Source organism: Homo sapiens, chromosome 5, assembly GCF_000001405.40.
Source record: "Homo sapiens chromosome 5, GRCh38.p14 Primary Assembly".
NCBI lineage: Eukaryota > Metazoa > Chordata > Mammalia > Primates > Hominidae > Homo > Homo sapiens.
The window spans coordinates 78,683,407-78,704,192 of record NC_000005.10 but is presented as its reverse complement, the minus strand read 5'-3'; the positions used below and the strand labels follow the sequence as shown (position 1 = coordinate 78,704,192).

The 20,786-nt window shown below is 41.1% G+C and overlaps 1 long non-coding RNA gene across 1 annotated transcript in view, besides 3 other annotated features; it reads left to right on the top strand.

Annotated features, from left to right (window-relative positions):
* LOC124900191 (uncharacterized) overlaps positions 1-20,786 on the top strand; it is a 115,042-nt gene that overhangs the window by 68,608 nt on the left and 25,648 nt on the right. The gene's annotated exons all lie outside the window — the stretch shown is intronic.
* Positions 3,587-4,786: an enhancer, noted in NCBI's record as "P300/CBP strongly-dependent group 1 enhancer chr5:77995230-77996429 (GRCh37/hg19 assembly coordinates)". NCBI's record gives its function as "activates an origin of replication core promoter dependent on BRD2, BRD4, P300/CBP, MED14 and CDK7 cofactors, with strong dependence on P300/CBP, by STARR-seq in HCT116 cells {active_cell/tissue: HCT116}" and the evidence as "EXISTENCE:reporter gene assay evidence [ECO:0000049][PMID:35650434]".
* Positions 4,111-4,255: an enhancer, noted in NCBI's record as "145 bp enhancer 185 fragment used in the MPRA reporter construct; PK_construct_3747". NCBI's record gives its function as "activates an SV40 promoter by MPRA in K562 cells {active_cell/tissue: K562}" and the evidence as "EXISTENCE:reporter gene assay evidence [ECO:0000049][PMID:23512712]".
* Positions 4,178-4,188: a transcriptional cis regulatory region, noted in NCBI's record as "NFE2L2 motif; enhancer activity is reduced when this motif is scrambled". NCBI's record gives its function as "necessary for full MPRA enhancer 185 activity {active_cell/tissue: K562}" and the evidence as "EXISTENCE:site-directed mutagenesis evidence [ECO:0005528][PMID:23512712]".

Genomic DNA, 20,786 nt, shown 5'->3' with positions numbered 1-20,786 from the left:
AGATGAGAAATAAGAGGCTCAGAGAAATTAAATAATCATTCAGGATATCAAGCTAGTAAGTGGCAGAGCTGGAATCAAACCCAGGCCTAGAATTCTGAACATTCTTCGCTCTGTTGCCCAGGCTGGCCTGAGGCCATCCTTCTGCCTTGGCCTCCCAAAGTGCTGGGCTTACAGGTGTGGGCCACCAAGCCTGTAATAAAATTTATTTAACCACCACTCCATTCACACAGTTAGTTGTTCAATCTTTCCTATTAATAAATAGTGGGATAAAGAACACCCTTATACATAGTTTATTTCACATGTGTGCAAGAGTATCTGTACATTACATTCCTAACAGTGAAATTTCTGGACCTAAGTGATGGTGCAATTATAATTTGGATAGGTGTTTTCCAAACTGCCTTCCAGAAAGTTGGATATATTCACACTTCTACTAACAATAACACAGTACCTGTCTCTGGAGCCCCTATCTGATTTTTCATCTGTGCCAGTTTAACAAGAGAAGATAGTACTTAATTATATTTTATTATATTATTATGATAGTTTTAATTTGTATTTCTTATATTTTGTATAAGGGTGATCATGGGTTATTGGTCTTTTTCTTAATGATTTGTAGGAGCTCTTTATACATTAAAGGATTTTCTCCTTTATTTCTATTTTGAACTGCACATTTTTTCCCAGTGCCTTTTCTTCTGATTCTGCTTATGCAGAGGGGTTGCCATGCAGAAATTTTTTCTTTTCATGTTCATAAAAGACAAGTTTGTCAGTCTTGTCTTTTATAGTTTCTGAGTCTTATATCTCTATACTACTAGATTACAAAAAATAAAAGTGTCCTTTGTTTCTTCTAGTAATTGTATGGTTCTTTTACAGTTTCAACTATCTAGAATTTATTTTGTTTGGATGGTTACCCAGTTGTCTCAATATAATTTTTAAAATGATAATTTTTCCCTACTGATTTGAAAGCCAGCTGACTCTATACTGAATTTTCTGTTTTATATTCAGAAATGGCATTTCTGAGGCAGGAGGATCACATCAAGCCATCCTGGGCAACAGAGTGAAAAATGTTTAGGCTGTTTCATTGTGCTTGATGACTATTTGTATTAATATATAAATACCACACAGTTTTTCTTATTATATTTTGATAATATGTTTTATTATCTGGTAAGGCTTATGCCCTGATCACTTTTCTTTTTCAAAATGGCAAGTTTGTTTATTTTTAATTTCACCGTGGTTCTGGGCCCATGCCTAAGGGGGAGACCTGGCTCTCCAACCTCGCTTATGTGTTCTTCCCCAGCCCCAGTCCTTAGGGTCAGGTTCTCTATGCCATTGTTCTCTGCACATTCAGAAGATGGTTTAGTAGAAATGTGAGCCCCTGGCCCAGCACAGTGGCTTACTCCTGCAATCCCAGCACTTTGGAAGGCTGAGGCAGGAGGATCTCTTGTGTCCAGGAGTTCAAGACCAGCCTGGGCAACATAGTGAGACCTCATCTCTACAAAAAATAAACAAAATTAGCTGCACATGGTGATGTGCACCTGTAGTCCCAATTACTTGGGAGGCTGAGGCAGGAGGATTGCTTGAACCCAGGCCATCAAGGCTGCAGTGAGCTGAGATCATACCACTGCACTCTAGCATGGGCGACAGTGCAAGACCCTGTCTCAAAAAAAAAAAAAAGAAAAAGAAAAAAAAAGGAAATCTGAGCCCCCTTTATCCATTTCCCCTCATTGGAGGCTTCCTTAAAGGCCTTTACCAATAGTGTTTCTAAGTCCTAGGGGGATCTACGCTCCCCTGGACAAGGCACAGGGCTTCTTAAAGTACGTCTCTTGTTCAGGTTCTCAGAATAAGTTCTGAGGTTTGATGTTTTTCTCCAACTAATGTCAAATAGCAGGCCTGTAATTTTCCCAAATTTAAGAGTATTTTCCCCTGGCTTCCTGGCTGGCTCAGACTTGTGAAAATATTCTCAATTTCAACTTCACTTCCTTTAACATTGTGCAAGACAGTATGTGGCAAAACCCTAGAATATAAAACGTTTCTGACATTTTCACTCAGTAACTTGCCAATTTCTCATTTGATTCTTTTTTCTTTTTATAAAGACAAATTAGAAAGCAATCACTCCATAACCTTTGGCTTTGTTATTTCTTTATCCTTTGTGCTACCCAGTCCTATTTCCCTATCTATCACTCTTCTGTATTGATTTTGGATGGTTTGGTGTTTGCCTTTGTGCTTTGCAAAGAAAGCCATTGATTTTGAATAGATCTAGAAATGTTGGGAGCTCTTGGCGATGTACCCAATCTTAGTGTTGTTACTAAAGGTATTAGACATTGCCTTGCAAGTGAGTTTATTGTCTCAGTCTATGATTATGGAAATAAAGACTGCTAACAGCTATTGGCAAAGACCTTCAGAGTTATCATCTGCCTATTCATGACAATAAGAGCTAGGAGATTGACCTGCTAAATGCCCTACTGAACCGCTGATGACAAGTATGTCTTTAATTTCAACTCTAAAAAATAGGATATGGTGTAACAGAAAGAGAACTTTGGATAGAAAATCAGGATACCTGGCTGGGTACGGTGGCTCACGCCTGTAATCCCAGTATTTTGGGAGGCTGAGGTGGGCAGATCACTTGAGGTCAGAAGTTTGAGACCAGCCTGGTCAACATGGGGAAACCCCGTCTCCACTAAAAATGCGAAAATTAGATGGGTGTGGTGGTGAGTGCCTGTAATCCCAGCTACTCGGGAGGCTGAGGCAGGAGAATTGCTTGAACCAGGGAGGTGGAGGTTGCAGTGAACCAAGATTGTACCACCGCACTCCAGCCTGGGTGACAGAGTGATACTCCATCTCAAAAAAATAGAAAAATTTTTAAAAATTAAAAAGAAAATCAGGAGACCTTAATATAGTCTTGATGTGCTCTAGCTAGGTGGAATTCCTCCCCAGGCTCTGGAGAGTAAAGCTGCTGAAGAACTCATGAACAGGAAGTTGTAGCATATAGGCCATTCAAAATTGTCTCTAGGCTGGGCGCAGTGGCTCATGCCTGTAATCCCAGCACTTTGGGAGGCTGAGGCAGGTGGATCACCTAAGGTCAGGAGTTTGAGACTAGTTTGGGCAACATGGTGAAACCCTATCTCTACTAAAAATACAAAAATTAGCTGGGCATGGTGGCATGTGCCTGTAATCCCAGCTACTTGGGAGGCTGAGGCAGGAAAATCACTTGAACCCAGGAGACGGAGGCTGCAGTGAGCCGAGATGGTGCCACTGCACTCCAGCCTGGGTGACAGAGTGAGACTCCATCTCAAAAAAATAAAGATTGTCTCTAAATGATAAGGGCCAGAGATAATGTGGGTAGCTAGGGCTATCTTATCCTTTTATCTTTCTTGATCACATATCATCCATCGGATTTTCACCCAGTCTCTGGAGTCAATCATATGACAAATTAGGTGGCCAAAGGGCAAACAGTAGAAAAAAATGAAGGAAAAAAAATGTAAGTCATCCCCAGGCTAGAGGACCATATGTTGAACAGTTGAGAGGTGCCTATAAATGTGTGGGAAGGCTGATGGGGAGGGGTCAAGTCTGCCAGCTTCCCAGCCCCAGAGACGGTGCCATGGGATGGGCATAAGGAAGCCTTTGCCCAGGACATGTCTAAGGTATCCGCTGTGGCCCACTTGAAGCCTGCCAGGCGTACCTGCCCGGCTGTGTCTTCCCTTACTTAAGGCCACTCTTGTCGGTGGCCCTGCCTCTGGTGGAGTAAGGAGGTGCTCTGCCATATAAAGCACTTTTGATTTCATGGGCTGACTATGATGGTGCTCCAAGGGAGTATACCAAAATCAGAGATGTTCCTGCTCTTTGACTCAGCAATTCCGAGGTAAAACTTGAGAGAGGGTTAATTTGAAAAATTGGGTTTTCATTTGCTTGGGCTATGGAGCAAAATGAGATATACCTTCCATGTCCCCCTGAAACCATCCATAAATTCTGCGATTCTCACAGGAAGGGATAATTTTAGTGAAACTGAGGAAGGAGCTCACCTATGTGGTAAGGGGTAAATAAATAGGAGGCTGAACAGTGAGAGCTGTGATGACACTCAGGCTTGCAAGCTGATTCACCTACCAGTCGAGCAAGACTGCCCCAGGCAAACCTTCCAAAGCAGAAGGAGAAAAATGTCTCATGAACACTCACCCATGTGACCTGAGGCTGAGTCATCCGTGGTTAATTCCGATTCATTTATGCCTTTTATCTTTCTGGATATTCAGGGAAACAAGGGTCTTTTGTCCAGCTAGAAGCCAGACATCTTTTTTGAAACCATCTTGTTCTTGAGTTGCATCTAATGGGCCATCCTCACATTGGTGAGTCACTGTGTCTCAGGCCAGCCTTCCACCCTCATCCAGCTCTTCCTCAACCAGAGTGGCCCCAACTCTTTCCTCACTGATTGCGTGCCTTCTGGGTACTGTTTGTGTGCTGGGTGTGGGTGTGGCAGGGAGCAGGCGGTCTCTCTCCTGTGGGTGAGCACATTTCCAGGCTGATGAGGAGAGACCCTGCCCACATCACACCCTAATGTACCTTACCCCACTCTCCTTATCTGTAAGATGACTCACATGTACTCTCGGTGGAGTATTTGGAATCCTGGAATCTTATAACATTCAATGCAACTTGTTACCTCCCACAATTGTTACCTCACCCAATCTTTGATTGAAAGAATAAAGCAAATGTAATATCCTGGGTATCATCTCAGTTCAGGGGAAAAACCAGTCTTCTTTAATCTGATAAAGGAGACTACCTAAATCCTACCGAGAATGGATAAGTAATACATGATTTTATATATATATATATATATAATTTATTTATTTATTTTTTGAGTCGCAGTCTCACTCTGTCGCCCAGGCTAGAGTGCAGTGGCACAATCTCAGCTCACTGCAAGCTCTGCCTCCCGGGTTCAAGCAATTCTCCTGCCTCAGCCTCTCAAGTAGCTGGAACTACAAGTGCCCACCACCATGACCAGCTAATGTTTTATATTTTTAGTAGAGATGGGGTTTCACTGTGTTATCCAGGATGGTCTCGATCTCCTGACCTCGTGATCCACCCACCTCAGCCTCCCAAAGTGCTGGGATTACAGGTGTGAGCCACCACACCCGGCCATGATGGAATATATTAACCAATAGTGAAAATAAAGGAATTACAGCTACATGAAGTAAAATGAATAAATCTTAGAAACAATGCTGAGTGAAAAAAACTCAAGTCCTGGAATCTCTCTGGATAAGAACATAGCAATTGTATAAAGATAAAATCTAGCTACGTGAATATTATAGATATTTTGGTAATTTGTAGAAAACACTGTGTGTGTGTGTGTGTGTGTGTGTGTGTGTGTATTAGTTTCCTGTCACTGCTGTAACAAATTACCACAAACTTGGTGGTTTAAAGCAACAGATTATTATATTATGCTCTCACAGTTCTGTAGGCCAGAAGTCTGAAATCCATTTCACTGGGCTAAAAATCAAGGCCTTGGCAGCACTGTGCTTCCTCCAGAGGCCCTGGGGAAGAATGTGTTCCTTGCCTCTTCCAGTTTCTTGTGGCTGCCAGCATTCCTTGGCCATATCCCTCCAGTGTCTGCTTTGTGGTCACATGGCCTTCTCTTCTGTAGTCGATCCTCCCTCTGCCTCAATTCATTAGGACACTTGTGATTGTATTTAGGGCCCAACTGGATAATCCAGGATCATCTCCCCAGCTCAAGAGCCTTAACTGAATCATATCTGCCAAGTCTTTGCCATTCACTGTAACATTTCCAGGTTCCAGGGATTAGAATGTAGGCATCTCAGGTTCATTGTTCAGCCTATCACTGTGTGTGTGTGTGTGTGTGTGTGTGTGTGTGTGCATGCGCATTTTTTTCTTGGAATGATAAATACCAAGTTTAGCAACAGTGGTGCTGGAACAGATTTGTACAGGCTTGCCACAACCGACTACACACATCTCTTCCAGCTCCGCACTCAGTTACTTTAGGTTGGTAGCTTGACATCAGTCACATGGGATTATTTACACCATGGAAGTTGACAAGAACTGCAAATCAGTGTTTTTTCCCAGAGAACTGGTTTACACTGTCAGTAGCGTGGTTACCTTCTTAGTGGGAAAGGCAGAGGGGTGGAATTAGGTTTGGTAATGCTTTAGTTTTTAAATTGGATGGTGTGTTAACAGGTGTTTGTTTTACTATTATGCTTTAAATGTACATAGGTTTTTTTGTGGGTTTTTTTTTTTTTTGAGATGGAGTCTTGCTTTGTGACCCAGGCTGGATTGCAGTGGCTCAATCTCCGCTCACTGCAACCTCTGCCTCCCAGGTTCAAGCAATTCTCCTCCCTCAGCCTCCCAAGTAGCTGGGATTACAGGCCTTCACCACCATGCCTGGCTAATTTTTTTTTTAAGTAGAGATGGGGTTTCACCATGTTGACCAGGCTGGTCTTGAACTCCTGAACTCAAGTAATCCACCTGCCTCAGCCTCCCAAAGGGCTGGGATTACAGGAGTGAGCCACCATGCCCAGCCTGTACATAAGGTTTTATATACAGACATAATACTGATTTTTTTAAGAGAAAAAATGGAAGGCAGCAGGAAGTTTCTGATCTTTCAAAAAAGAAATAAAACAATACCAAAGGCTGGTGAGAATGTGGAGACAGTGGACCTTTCATATATTGCTGGTGGGGATGTAAATGACACAGATACTCTGAAAAATAGAAAGGCAGTTTTCTTTTCATTTTGTTTCTCTTTTTTTTGAGATGGAGTCTTGCTCTGTCGCCCAGGCTGGAGTGCGGTGGCATAATCTCGGCTCACTGCAGCCTCTGCCTCCTGGGTTCAAGCCCTTCTCCTGCCTTGGCTCCCAGGTAGCTGGGACTACAGGCGCACGCCACCACACCTGGCTAATTTTTCTATTTTTAGTAGAGACGGGTTTTCCCCATGATGGCCAGGCTGGTCTTGAACTCCTGACCTAAAGTGATCTGCCTGCCTCGGCCTCCCAAAGTGCTGAACCCCCAAGCATGAGCCACCATGCCCAGCCAGGATGGCAGTTTTCTACATAGCTAAACATATTCTTACTATCCCAGCATTGCACTCCTGGAAATTTATGCCAAATAAATTAAAACTTATATCCATACAAAACCTTGACATAATGTTCACTGCAGGTTTACTTGTAGTAGCCCCAAACTGGAAACAACCAAAATGTCTTTTAATAGGAGAATGGTTAAACAAGCTATTGTGCTTAATTATTGATACATGCAAAAACTTGGATGGACCTCAAAGGCATTATGCTGAGTGAAAAAAAGCCAATCATGAAAGGTCACATATTGTATGGATTTATTTATATTGCATTCTCAAAATGATAAAATTATGAGTCACCATGCCTTATCTGAAGCAAGCTTCCCCATTATAATCTGATCATCAGTATGGGGAGCAAATACAGTGTTTCTTCCTTACCCTGACCTGCTGGACTTTCCTCATCTGCCCCTGCTTTTAAATCTCTGTCCAAAGCTGCCTTGATGCTCTTTATCATGGACACTGAGCACAGAGCAGCAGTTTAATAAGATTTCCTGACAAAAGCAGCCCACTGAATTGGATGTTTTCTCTCTCTTTCTTTTATTATTGTATTTGAATTTCCCCCTAGCCAGATGGCTGATAACAATTCTGTTTCTCTTCTTTTCCAATAAGTAAATTCCAGACTCAAGAATATCCCCTCAACAGGCCAGAAAATTCCATCTTTGATAAGCCAGTGGGTAGAGTTAATGGAGGAAGAACTTGCTGATCAGGGACTCTCAGTGTGTTAGTCTGTTTTCATGCTGCTAATAAAGACATACCCGAAACTGGTTAATTTATATGGGAAAAATGTTTAATGGACTCACATTTCCACGTGGCTGGGGAGGCCTCACAATCATGGTGGAAAGCAAGGAGGAGCAAGTCATTTCTTACATGGATGGCAGCAGGCAAAGAGAGAGCTTGTGCAGGGAAACTCCTGTTTTTAAAACCATCAGATCTCATCAGACTTATTCACTAACATGAGAACAGCATGGGAAAGACTCGCCCCTGTGATTAAATTATCTCCCACTAGGTCCTTCCCACAACACGTGGGAATTATGGGAGCTACAAGATGGGATTTGGGTGGGGACACAGAGCCAAACCATATCACTCAGTTTATAACATACAGAATCACAGCCTCTGAGCAGAGGAGACCTTGCAGCCCCATGCACTACACTGGGGCTGGTGCCTGGGACTAGGGCCATTTCAGGCTATGGCGCCTCCCCCCACCATTCTTCCCTCTGTATTTCTGCAGATTCCTGCTGGGAACCAATGCCTATTAATGAGGTTTCTACTTCTAGCCTATGAGTTAACATTCTTTTTGTAAATTAATTTTTTAATATTTTATCTAAACAAATATAAACCAAATTGTATTTAAAGGCTCATGAAGGAGGACTGCATTCCTCTACTTCACGCTTTAGTCTCATGCCTCAGAGGCAGAACTTTGAACTTCAGCTATTTCTTCTGATATTTGCCATATTTACACTGCCATTACAGACACATCAATTTTAGATGTTATCTCTTGACTTTCTAACAAATGGCAGAATGGGGATTTAGCTCTCTTTCTCTAACATCCCCACTTGCCTTGTCTCAATATAGTGTCACAACTTTTTAATTCAATTGATATTTGGCTAGGTGCGGTGGCTCATGCCTGTAATCCCAGGACTTTGGAAGGCTGAGGCTTGGGGCCAGGAGTTTGAGACTAGCCTGGCCAACATGGTGAAACCCCATCCCTACTAAACTTACAAAAATTAGCCAGGCATGGTGGCACACTCCTGTGGTTCCAGCTACTCAGGAGGCTGAGGCACGACAATTGCTTGAAACCAGGAGGTGGAGGTTGCACTGAGCTGAGATCATGCCACTGCACTGCAGCCTGGGTGACAGAGTGAGACTCTGTCTCAAAAATTTTAAAAATAAAAATAAATAAATTGATATTTAGTTTTTACATTTTATGTTCCCAGGCAAGTTAAGTAGTATAATTTCCTCCATTTTATAATTTTTTGCCTATCTGCAGTTATTATTTGCATTTCTTTTTTTCTTACTTTTACTCTTGTACATATGTGTCCCTTAGTCTTTCTAGATCCTCTCACAAAATTATAAAATTCCTCTTAAAACAATTTTCTACATGGTAGAATCTATCAGATTATCTAATCAGATTTTTTAACCTAGAGGTTACCTTTTCAGAGCCCAGAGCTCTTCTAGCCTAAGCAGGTCGTTAACACAGAGTTAAGAGTGCAAAAGATTTATGGAAGAGCAATTGCTCTGAAAGGAAAAGGGAATTAAGGATTGGACAGGGGAGCTGCTGCCCTGAGTTGCAAACCTGACAAAGATTCCACCCGTCCAATGGGGAGCGCCAGTGCAAACACTGCCTTTTTAGACGCCCACGTTATTTCTTCAACATCTTGCTTAGTCATTGACTAAGGGCTACCCCAAGAAAAATGTGACCTTGGCTCAAAAGTTGAGGCAGATCCCAAAGGAACTACTAGCTATAGGTTGTCAGCTAATCACACCCTTTTTGGTTGGGCAGCAAGAGCAACAAGTCATTTTCTGAAGGGGATCTGAGCAGTGCTTTTTGTTTTGTTTTGTTTTGTTTTGTTTTGTTTTGTTTTGTTTTGTTTATGCGGAGTTTTGCTCTTATCGCCAAGGCTGGAGTGCAATGGTGCGATCTTGGTTCACTGCAACCTCTGCCTCCCAGATTCAAGCTATTCTCCTGCCTCAACCTCCCAAGTAGTTGGGATTACAGGCATGCACCACCACACCCAGCTAATTTTCGTATTTTTAGTAGAGATGGGATTTCGCCATGATAGTTAGGCTGGTCTCGAACTCCTGGCCTCAGGTGATCCACCCACCTCAGCTTTCCAAAGTGTTGGGATTACAGGCATAAGCCACCATGCCCGGCCTTGAGCAGTGCCTTTCTAGGTCTGCACAGATCCCATTTTCTGAATCCCACGTGTTCCTCTTTCTTGTTTTATACCCTCATTTTGGTGTAGCACATTTTTAGTAGTTGCTGAAATGTAAAGTTTTTGAGACCTAGGATGTCTTAAAATGTCATTTTACCCTCATACTTGACAGTTTGTTTGGGCATAGAATTCTATATCTCTTTGACTTATAATTTTGGTAGCTCTATTGTCTTTTAAGTTCTGATGTTGCTGTTGATAAATCCGATAGTATTCTGTTTCCTACTCTTTAAATTTTCACTTTTTTCCCGCACTATTTTGCTTTCTCTGGAAATTTTTAGGATCTACTCTTTATTTTCAGTGTAATTTCCATCATAATTTAAAATAATGTGACTTGGTGAACCTTGTTCATTCATTAGGTTGGGCATACAATTCTCATGTTCAATCTGGAGAATGATTTCATTAAATACTGAGAAATATCTTTTATTATATATTTAATAATTTCCTTTATTTTTTTCTGGTCTCTCTTTCTTGACTCCTATTAGTCAGATATAGAACTTTCTAGATTGACTCTAACTTTTTTGATATTTTCTCTCCTATTGCCTATTTTTTGTCTTTTTCATCAACTCTCTGGGAGATATTTTATCTTCCAATCTTTCTGTTGAATTTTTATTTCAGCTATCAAGGGCACTTTTTCAATACTCAAATTGTTTTTTCATAACACCCTATTCTTGTTTCATGTTTTCTCCCATTTTTTGGAGGATATTAGAATTCTTTTAATATTCTGCTCTCTGTAATATCTCTATTTCCTCTAGATCCTTTTTTTCTTTTCTTGTGTGTTTTGTTTTGTCTTTTATCTTGGAGGAATCTGCTGACCTTAATTGTCTGATCAAATTTAATAGTGACATATTATGGAGCTCATTGATAGTTGTTTAATGGCAGTCCCTGCTCTAGAGAGATCAAGTGGTAAGCTGTTCTTTAATTGCAGGTCCTAAAATGTCAGGGTTTGTAGACCTTTTCTTTGGAATCTTCACATTTCTTTCAAAGAAAAAGACTCCAGTCTTCCACCTGTGTGCTACTTTACTGGCTGCCATTTGTTTTCCAGTAGAGAAAGAGACTGAGGGACTCTTAGTTTACTACTCAAACTTTTACTCCATCTTCCTATTTTCAGTGGAACATCTCCCTTCCACCCTTCCCTAAGATCTAAGATGTGCTGATGTCCCAGAATAGAGAGCCTCTTATGTCCACTTTTCTCAGAGAATAAGTGTGTAATTTCCAGACTACGGGGGTGGGAGTGTTGGTGGGGGTGGAAGGAGTAGTTCCCTGCTGGGTGGGGGAGGGGAAAACATGGCATTATAAATTCTCTTTCCATAACTTTCAACCAGTCCTCTGTTTTTATTTCCATAATTAACCTACATTTTCCAAAATACCTAACACTCTTAATTCCTGAGATATCCTAGTTTTCTGTAGTGTGAACTGGCTTGCTTCTCATTGATGCCTCTCTTTGAAAGTTCTTAGATTTCAGCTTTCTCAGCTCTGTTCTACCAGTCACTACTCCTATATCCACTTTTTTGAAATATTTTATTTTACTTTATATTTTGTACAGACAGAGGTCTCACTATGTTGCCCAGACTGGTCTTGAATTCCTGGCTTCAAGTAATCTTCCCACTTTACCCTCCCAAAGTGCTGAAATTACAGGCATGAGCCACTGTGCCAGCTTCAGAACTTTTATAATTCTAAGTGGCTGTTGCCTCCTCTTCTTTGGACTATAATAACATACATATATATACATTTTTCATATGTCTTGACTGGTGGTCTTTTGGACAGAAGAGATATAAATGCATGTACTATTTTTATTTTTTTGAGACAGAATCTTGCTTTGTCACCCAGGCTGGAGTGTAGTGATGAGATCTTGGCTCACAGCAACCTCTGCCTCCTGAGTTCAAGCTATTCTCATGTCTCAGCCTCCTGAGTAGCAGGGATTACAGATGTGTGCCACCACGCCCAGCTAATTTTTGTATTTTTAGTAGAGGGTTTCACCATGTTCACCAGCCAGGCTGGTCTCAAACTCCTGACCTCAGGTGATCCACCTGCCTCAGCTTCCCAAAGTGCTGGGATTACAGATATGAGCCACCACACCTGGCCTAATGTACTATTTTTAATTTAAAATATCTGACACAAATTTTCAGTAGGCTTACAGGAAGTCCATACTGTTTTCCTTTTACCTTTATTCCAATTTTTGCAAACATTGGGGCATCTGTATGATGCATTTAGGAAAACTTACAGTTCCAGCATCCCAAGACTCACAGATAATACTGTTTCCTTAAATGTTCTAGAGGTAACAGCATTGTTTATGCAGTGGGCATGTCCATCAAAACTTCTGTATGGTTATTTTCCTTGCTATTCTGGTATGTATTTTGCCATAACTTTGTTTTGGGATTCACATTCCAAGCTTTGTTATTAAAGATGGAATAGGAGTGAACATTGTGTAATGTCTTAACTTCCCAGTAGAAATCATGAGGCCTCAGATTTTTAAACTCAAAGGTTAAAGGCTGGCCGCATAGAGAGAGTAAATGTTTTCAGTAAAAGCAAAAGAACAATTTTTTTATAAGCACAAAAATATGTTCCCTACCTTCTCTAAGAGCCATAAAATTGCTCAAATGTTTCCCTATCCAACCACTCAAGTGATGCTTAGACCTCTCCCTGCTGCTCACTCATCCCTTCCTAAGGGTGAGTGGAGACTGTGCTTGCACACCTGTGGTGATGGGAAACTGACTTCCACTTTAGGCAACCCCTTCACCTTTCTCAGCCTTGACTGTTCTTATTTTTATAATCTACCCCATATGGAGCTCTGATTATGTGCCCAGCACTCTGCTAAGAGCTTTACAAATAATTCATTTAATCCCTGCCACAGCCCTGCAAATGTTGTTATTTCCATTTTGCAAATGAGGAAATGCAGAGAGCTTAACTGCTTGCCCAAGTTCCCACAGTGAGTGAGTGAGGGCAGGGCCAGCAGGTAAGCAGCAGCTGGTCTGGCTGTAATTCCTTGTTCTTTCTATTTGTTCTTCCTTTTGTCAAGCCCAAAATACCCCCTCTCCATAGCTTCTACCCACTCAGGAGCATGGGGCAAAAGCCAAACCTCTGTCCCTCAGGAGAGCACGGGGAAAGGCCAATTCTGTCTTCCACATGAGCACTCTTCAGCTATTTCGAGATATTTATCTGACGTTCATTCTACTCCTGGCTAAAGTTTTCCTGAAAAAAGAAATTTTAAAAAAGATCAATACCTGTTTTGAGAATATTAAGTGTACTTCTCCCTTCAGTTTCTAAGCTTTTTTCCTACTTGAGGCACTGGTTCAGCCTCATAAAGGGGCATAGGCTGGGTGGGTGTCTTCAGTGTGTGCTTGGAAGCTGCTGCTCAGAAAACAGCTGAGACTCTGCCTTACACCCACCTTGTGAAGGGCCACAGTGGATCTGTACAAGCCAGGAGCTTCTTTAGTCTTGTCCTGGCACACCCAGCACATCAGCCACTTTGAATGGAGCTCCTGCAGGAGGAGACTCAGCTGAGTCCCAGAGCAATAGTAATTGCTTCATAACAGGGATCATAAAGAGACTTTGTTGTGTGTCCTTAAAGCAGCTTCAAATTACAGATTCAGATTGGGCAAATACCCCTATAAATCCCACCGGATAGCCTGGTTCCTTGGTTATAAGCAGGTTTGTTTTTCTGTACTGTTACCCAAATTCCCCTGATTGTAATCCCTCATAAGCCTATTTAAACTGCAGAATCCTGGACTCCACAGAGGAGTTCTGGACCTCCTAAGTCCGAATCTTCAAGAGAGGGACCTGCAGTTTGAATAAGCCTCTCCCAAGGGTTCTCATCATCCCTTAGTGTATTAGTCCGGTTTCACACTGCTATAAAGATACTACCTGAGACTGGGTAATTTATAAACAAAGGAAGTGTAATTGACTCACAATTCCGCATGGCTGGGGAGGCCTCAGGAAATTTACAATCACAGTGGAAGGGGAAACAGACCCTTTTTTACAAGATGGCAGGAGAGAGGGAGAGTGAATGTGCAGGGGAAACTGCCATTTATAAAACCATCACATCTTGTGAAAACTCACTCAACTATCACAAGAACAGCATGGGGGAAACTGTCCCCATGATCCAATCACCTCCCACCAGGTTCCTTCCTCAACACCTGGGGATTACAATTAAAATGAGATTTGGGTGGGGACACAGAGCCAAACCATATCACCTAAGCTTGGAAAGCATTGTTTTGAGGAGTTCTTTGCGTGAAATTCCATTCCTTGTCCTTTATTTTTTATTTTTTGAGAATCTCGCTCTGTTGCCCAGGCTTGAGTGCAGTGGTGAGATTTCGACTCACTGCAACCTCCACCTCCCAGGCTCAGATGATTCTCCTGCCTCAGCCTCCTGAGTAGCTGGGATTACAGGCATGCACTACCACACCCAGCTAATTTTTGTATTTTTATCCATTCATCAGTTAGTAGACATTTGGGTTATTCCAGTCTGGAGCTATCATGAATAAAGCTACTATGAATATTCCAACTCAGGTCTTGCTGCAGACATGTGTTTTCATTTCTCTTGAGGAAATACCCAGGAATGGGATTGCTGTGTCATATGCTATGTGTATGCTTACCTTTATCAAGGTGTATGCTTACTCTTTGTCAATCAAGAGATTGATCAGCTGTTTTTCAAAGTGGCAGTATCATTTTGCAATTGCACCAGCAATATACTACTGAATTTTTTTGAAAAAGACAATTATTTGTAGAGAGATCTACAAATACCTTTATTTTGCATCATCAGCACAGATGTAGAATTAGTTTTGTTAAAGCACTTCTTTTTTTTTTTTTTTTTTTTTTTGAGATGGAGTTTTGCTCTTGTTGTCCAAGCTGGAGTGCAATGGCACGATCTCCACTCACCGCAACCTCCGCCTCCCGGGTTCAAGCGATTCTCCTGCCTCAGCCTCTCCAGTAGCTGGGATTACGGGCATGTGCCACCATGCCCAGCTAATTTTGTATTTTTAGTAGAGACAGGGTTTCTCCATGTTGGTCAGGCTGATCTCAAACTCCCGACCTCAGGTGATTCACTCGTCTTGGCCTCCCAAAGTTCTGGGATTACAGGCGTGAGCCACTGCGCCTGGCCTTAAAGCACTTCTTAAGAGTTCTGGGCTTGGAGTCAGATTGAGCTGGGTCTGTTACAAAATTCAACAATACTGTGTCCATGATTTTGGACAAGTGGCTAGATCTCTCCAAATGTATTTCCCTTATTTGTAAGACAGAGATAATAATTCCTCTCTGCTTAGAGAAGTCGTAAGGATTAAAGGAGATGAAACACATAAAGCACTTAATACATTACCTGATATATAATAATCATGATTAACATGTTACTCTTATTATTTTCATTAACTTCTTTATAATAGTATTTGTTGCAGTAGGGTTTAAACATATGAGAACATGTACTATGAACTTCACTTCTTTAGGGTTTCTTTTGGGTAATAATTTAGAACTCAAGAAAACCACAGGAAGCTGAAAAAGGACGTTTTGTCATTGAAAAAAGATATTTGTAGTTATTTAGAATGAACAACCAGCAAGTCATTTTACATTCTTTCTAGAATTTCTAACTTCAGTTTCCTAATTTGTAAAATGGGGGTCAGGGTGGCGGTGGAGGTAGCCATTCTTACCCTGCCTTTCTCACAGTGTTGCTGTAAAGGTCAAAGGAAAAACTGAACATTATAAATTGTCAAGTATTATATAAATATTTACCACCAGTGAAAGTTTTAGAGGAATTTTTTTTTTTTTTTTTTTTTGAGATGGAGTCTCACTCTGTGACCCAAGCTGGAGTGTAGTGACACGATCTCGGCTCACTGCAATCTCCACAGCCCTGGTTCAAGTGATTCTCCTGCCTCAGCCTCCTGAGTTGCTGGGATTACAGGCACCTGCCACTGCGCCTGGCTAATTTTTGTAGTTTTAGTAGAGACGGGGTTTCACCATCGTGGCCAGGCTGGTCTTGAACTACTGACCTCATGAACCACCTGCCTCAGCCTCCAAAAGTGCTGGGATTACAGGCATGAGCCACTGCACCTGGCCAAGGATAAATTTTGTAAGATATGATTTAATTAGAAAATAGAAATTATAAGATAATAATGTCCTTTAGTAATTTCCTTTTTCTTTTTTTTATTATTATACTTCAAGTTCTAGGGTACATGTGCACAACATGCAGGTTTGTTACATATGTATATGTGTGCCATGTTGGTGTCCTGCACCCATTAACTCATCATTTACATTAGGTATATCTCTTAATGCTATCCCTCCCCAACCCCACCCCACAACAGGCCACGGTGTGTGATGTTCCCCTTCCTGTGTCCATGTGTTCTCATTGTTCAATTACCACCTATGAGTGAGAACATGCGGTGTTTGGTTTTTTGTCCTTGTGATAGTTTGCTGAAAATGATGGTTTCCAGCTTCATCCATGTCCCTACAAAGGACATGAACTCATCCTTTTTTATGGCTGCATAGTATTCCATGCTGTATATGTGCCACATTTTCTTAATCCAGTCTATCGTTGATGGACATTTGGGTTGCCTCCATGTCTTTGCTATTGTGAATAGTGCTGCAGTAAACATACGTGTGCATGTGTCTTTATAGCAGCATGATTTATAATCATTTGGGTAGATACCCAGTAATGGGATGGCTGGGTCAAATGGTATTTCTAGTTCTAGATCCTTGAGGAATCACCACACTGTCTTCCACAATGGTTGAAGTAGTTTACAGTAAAAGTGTTCCTATTTCTACACATCCTCTCCAGCACCTGTTGTTTCCTGACTTTTTAACGATCACCATTCTAACTGGTATGACATGGTATCTCATTGTGGTTTTGATTTGCATTTCTCTGATGGCCAGTGATGATAAGCATTCTTTCATGTGTCTTTTGGCTGCATAAATGTCTTCTTTTGAGAAGTGTCTGTTCACATCCTTTGCCCACTTTTTGATGGGGTTGTTTGTGTTTTTCTTGTAAAGTTGTTTGAGTTCTTTGTAGATTCTGGATATTAGCCCTTTGTCAGATGAGTAGATTGCAAAAATTTTCTCCCATTCTGTAGGTTGCCTGTTCACTCTGATGGTAGTTTCTTTTGCTGTGCAGAAGCTCTTTAGTTTAATTAGATCCCATTTATCAATTTTGGCTTTTGTTGCCATTGCTTTTAGTGTTTTAGACATGAAGTCCTTGCCCATGCCTATGTCCTAAATGGTATTGCCTAGGTTTTCTTCCAAGGATTTTATGGTTTTAGGTCGAACATTCAAGTCTTTAATCCATCTTGAATTAATTTTTGTATAAGGTGTAAGGAAGGGATCCAGTTTCAGCTTTCTACATATGGCTAGCCAGTTTTCCCAGCATGATTTATTAAATAGGGAATCCTTTCCCCATGTCTTGTTTTTGTCAGGTTTGTCAAAGATCAGATGGTTGTAGATGTATGGTATTATTTCTGAGGGCTCTGTTCTGTTCCATTGGTCTAGATCTCTGTTTTGGTACCAGTACCATGCTGTTTTGGTTACTGTAGCCTTGTAGTATAGTTTGAAGTCAGGTAGTGTGATGCCTCCAGCTTTGTTCTTTTGGCTTAGGATTGACTTGGCAATGTGGGCTCTTTTTTGGTTCCATATGAACTTGAAAGTAGTTTTTTCCAATTCTGTGAAGAAAGTCATTGGTAGCTTGATGGGGATGGCATTGAATCTATAAATTACCTTGGGCAATATGGCGATTTTCATGATATTGATTCTTCCTATCCATGAGCATGGAATGTTCTTCCATTTGTTTGTGTCCTCTTTTATTTTGTTGAGCAGTGGTTTGTAGTTCTTGAAGAGGTCCTTCACATCCCTTGTAAGTTGGATTCCTAGGTATTTTATTCTCTTTGAAGCAATTGTGAATGGGAGTTCACTCATGATTTGGCTCTCTGTCTGTTATTGGTGTTTAAGAATGCTTGTGATTTTTGCACATTGATTTTGTATCCTGAGACTTTGCTGAAGTTGCTTATCAGCTTAAGGAGATTTTGGGCTGATACAATGGGGTTTTCTAAATATACAATCATGTCATGTGCAAACAGGAACAATTTGACTTCCTCTTTTCCTAATTGAATGCCCTTTATTTCTTTCTCCTGCCTGATTGCCCTGGCCAGAACTTCCAACACTATGTTGAATAGGAGTGGTGAGAGAGGACATCCTTGTCTTGTGCCAGTTTTCAAAGGGAATGCTTCCAGTTTTTGCCCATTCAGTATGATATTAGCTGTGGGTTTGTCATAGATAGCTCTTACTATTTTCAGATACGTCCCATGAATACCTAATTAATTGAGAGTTTTTAGCATGAAGGGGTGTTGAATTTTCTCAAAGGCCTTTTCTGCATCTTTTGAGATAACCACGTGGTTTTTGTGTTTGGTTCTGTTTATATGCTGGATTACATTTATTGATTTGCATATGTTGAACCAGCCTTGCATCCCAGGGATGAAGCCCACTTGACCATGGTGGATAAGCTTCTTGATGTGCTGCTGAATTCAGTTTGCCAGTATTTTATTGAGGATTTTGCATCAATGTTCATCAGGAATATTGGCCTAAAATTCTCTTTTTTGGTTGTGTCTCTGCCAGGCTTTGGTATCAGGATGATGCTGGCCTCATAAAATGAGTTAGGGAGGATTCCCTCTTTTTCTATTGATTGGAATAGTTTCAGAAGGAATGGTACCAGCTCCTCTTTGTACCTCTGGTAGAGTTCGGCTGTGAATCCGTCTGGTCCTGGACTTTTTTTGGTTGGTAAGCTATTAATTATTGCCTTAATTTCAGAGCCTGTTATTGGTCTATTCAGAGATTCAACTTCTTCCTGGTTTAGTCTTGGGAGGGTGTATGTGTCGAGGAATTTATCCATTTCTTCTAGATTTTCTAGTTTATTTGTGTAGAGGTGTTTATAGTATTCTCTGATGGTAGTTTGTATCTCTGTGGGATTGGTGGTGATATCCCCTTTATCATTTTTTATTGCATCTATTTGATTCTTCTCTCTTTTCTTCTTTATTAGTCTTGCTAGCGGTTTATCAATTTTGTTGATCTTTTCAAAAAACCAGCTCCTGGATTCATTGATTTTTGAAGGGTTTTTGTGTCTCCATCTCCTTCAGTTCTGCTCTGATCTTAGTTATTTCTTGCCTTCTGCTAGCTTTTGAATGTGTTTGCTCTTGCTTCTCTCGTTCTTTTAATTGTGATGTTAGGGTGTCAATTTTAGATCTTTCCTGCTTTCTCTTGTGGGCATTTAGTGCTATAAATTTCCCTCTACACACTGCTTTAAATGTGTCCCAGAGATTCTGGTATGTTGTGTCTTTGTTCTCGTTGGTTTCAAAGAACATCTTTATTTCTGCCTTCATTTCGTTATGTACCCAGTAGTCATTCAGGAGCAGGTTGTTCAGTTTCCATGTAGTTGAGCGGTTTTGAGTGAGTTTCTTAATCCTGAGTTCTAGTTTGATTGCACTGTGGTCTGAGAGACAGTTTGTTATAATTTCTGTTCTTTTACATTTGCTGAGGAGTGCTTTACTTCCAACTATGTGGTCATTTTTGGAATAAGTGTGATGTAGTGCTGAGAAGAATGTATATTCTGTTGATTTGGGGTGGAGAGTTCTGTAGATGTCTATTAGGTCTGCTGGGTGCAGAGCTGAGTTCAATTCCTGGATATCCTTGTTAACTTTCTGTCTCATCGATCTGTCTAATGCTGACAGTGTGGTGTTAAAGTCTCCCATTATTATTGTGTGGGAGTCTAAGTCTCTTTGTAGGTCACTAAGGACTTGCTTTATGAATCTGGGTGCTCCTGTATTGGGTGCATATATATTTAGGATAGTTAGCTCTTCTTGTTGAATTGATCCCTTTACCATTATGTAATGGCCTTCTTTGTCTCTTTTGATCTTTGTTGGTTTAAAGTCTGTTTTATCCGAGACAAGGATTGCAACCCCTGCTTTTTTTGTTTTCCGTTTGGTTGGTAGATCTTCCTCCATCCCTTTATTTTGAGCCTATGTGTGTCTCTGCACATGAGATGGATCTCCTCAATATGGCACCCTGTTGGGTCTTGACTCTTTATCCAATTTGCCAGTCTGTGTCTTTTAATTGGAGCATTTAGCCCATTTACATTTAAGGTTAATATTGTTATGTGTGAATTTGATCCTGTCATTATGATGTTAGCTGGTTATTTTGCTCGTTGGTTGACGCAGTTTCTTCCTAGCCTCAATGGTCTTCACAATTTGGCATGCTTTTGCAGTGGCTGGTACCGGTTGTTTCTTTCCATGTTTAGTGCTTCCTTCAGGAGCTCTTTTAGGGCAGGCCTGGTGGTGAAAAAAATCTCTCAGCATTTACTTGTCTGTAAAGGATCTTATTTCTCCTTCACTTATGAAGCTTAGTTTGGCTGGATATGAAAGTCTGGGTTGAAAATTCTTTTCTTTAGGAATGTTGAATATTGGCCCCCACTCTCTTCTGGCTTGCAGAGTTTCTGCCGAGAGATCAGCTGTTAGTCTGATGGGCTTCCCTTTGTGGGTAACCCAACCTTTCTCTCTGGCTGCCCTTAACATTTTTTCCTTCATTTCAACTTTGGTGAATCTGACAATTATGTGTCTTGGAGTGGCTCTTCTCGAGGAGTATCTTTGCGGCATTCTCTGTATTTCCTGAATCTGAATGTTGGCCTGCCTTGCTAGGTTGGGGAAGTTCTCCTGGATAATATCCTGCACAGTGTTTTCCAACTTGGTTCCATTCTCCCTGTCACTTTCAGGTACACCAGTCAGATGTAGATTTGGTCTTTTCACATAGTCCCATATTTCTTGGAGGCTTTGTTC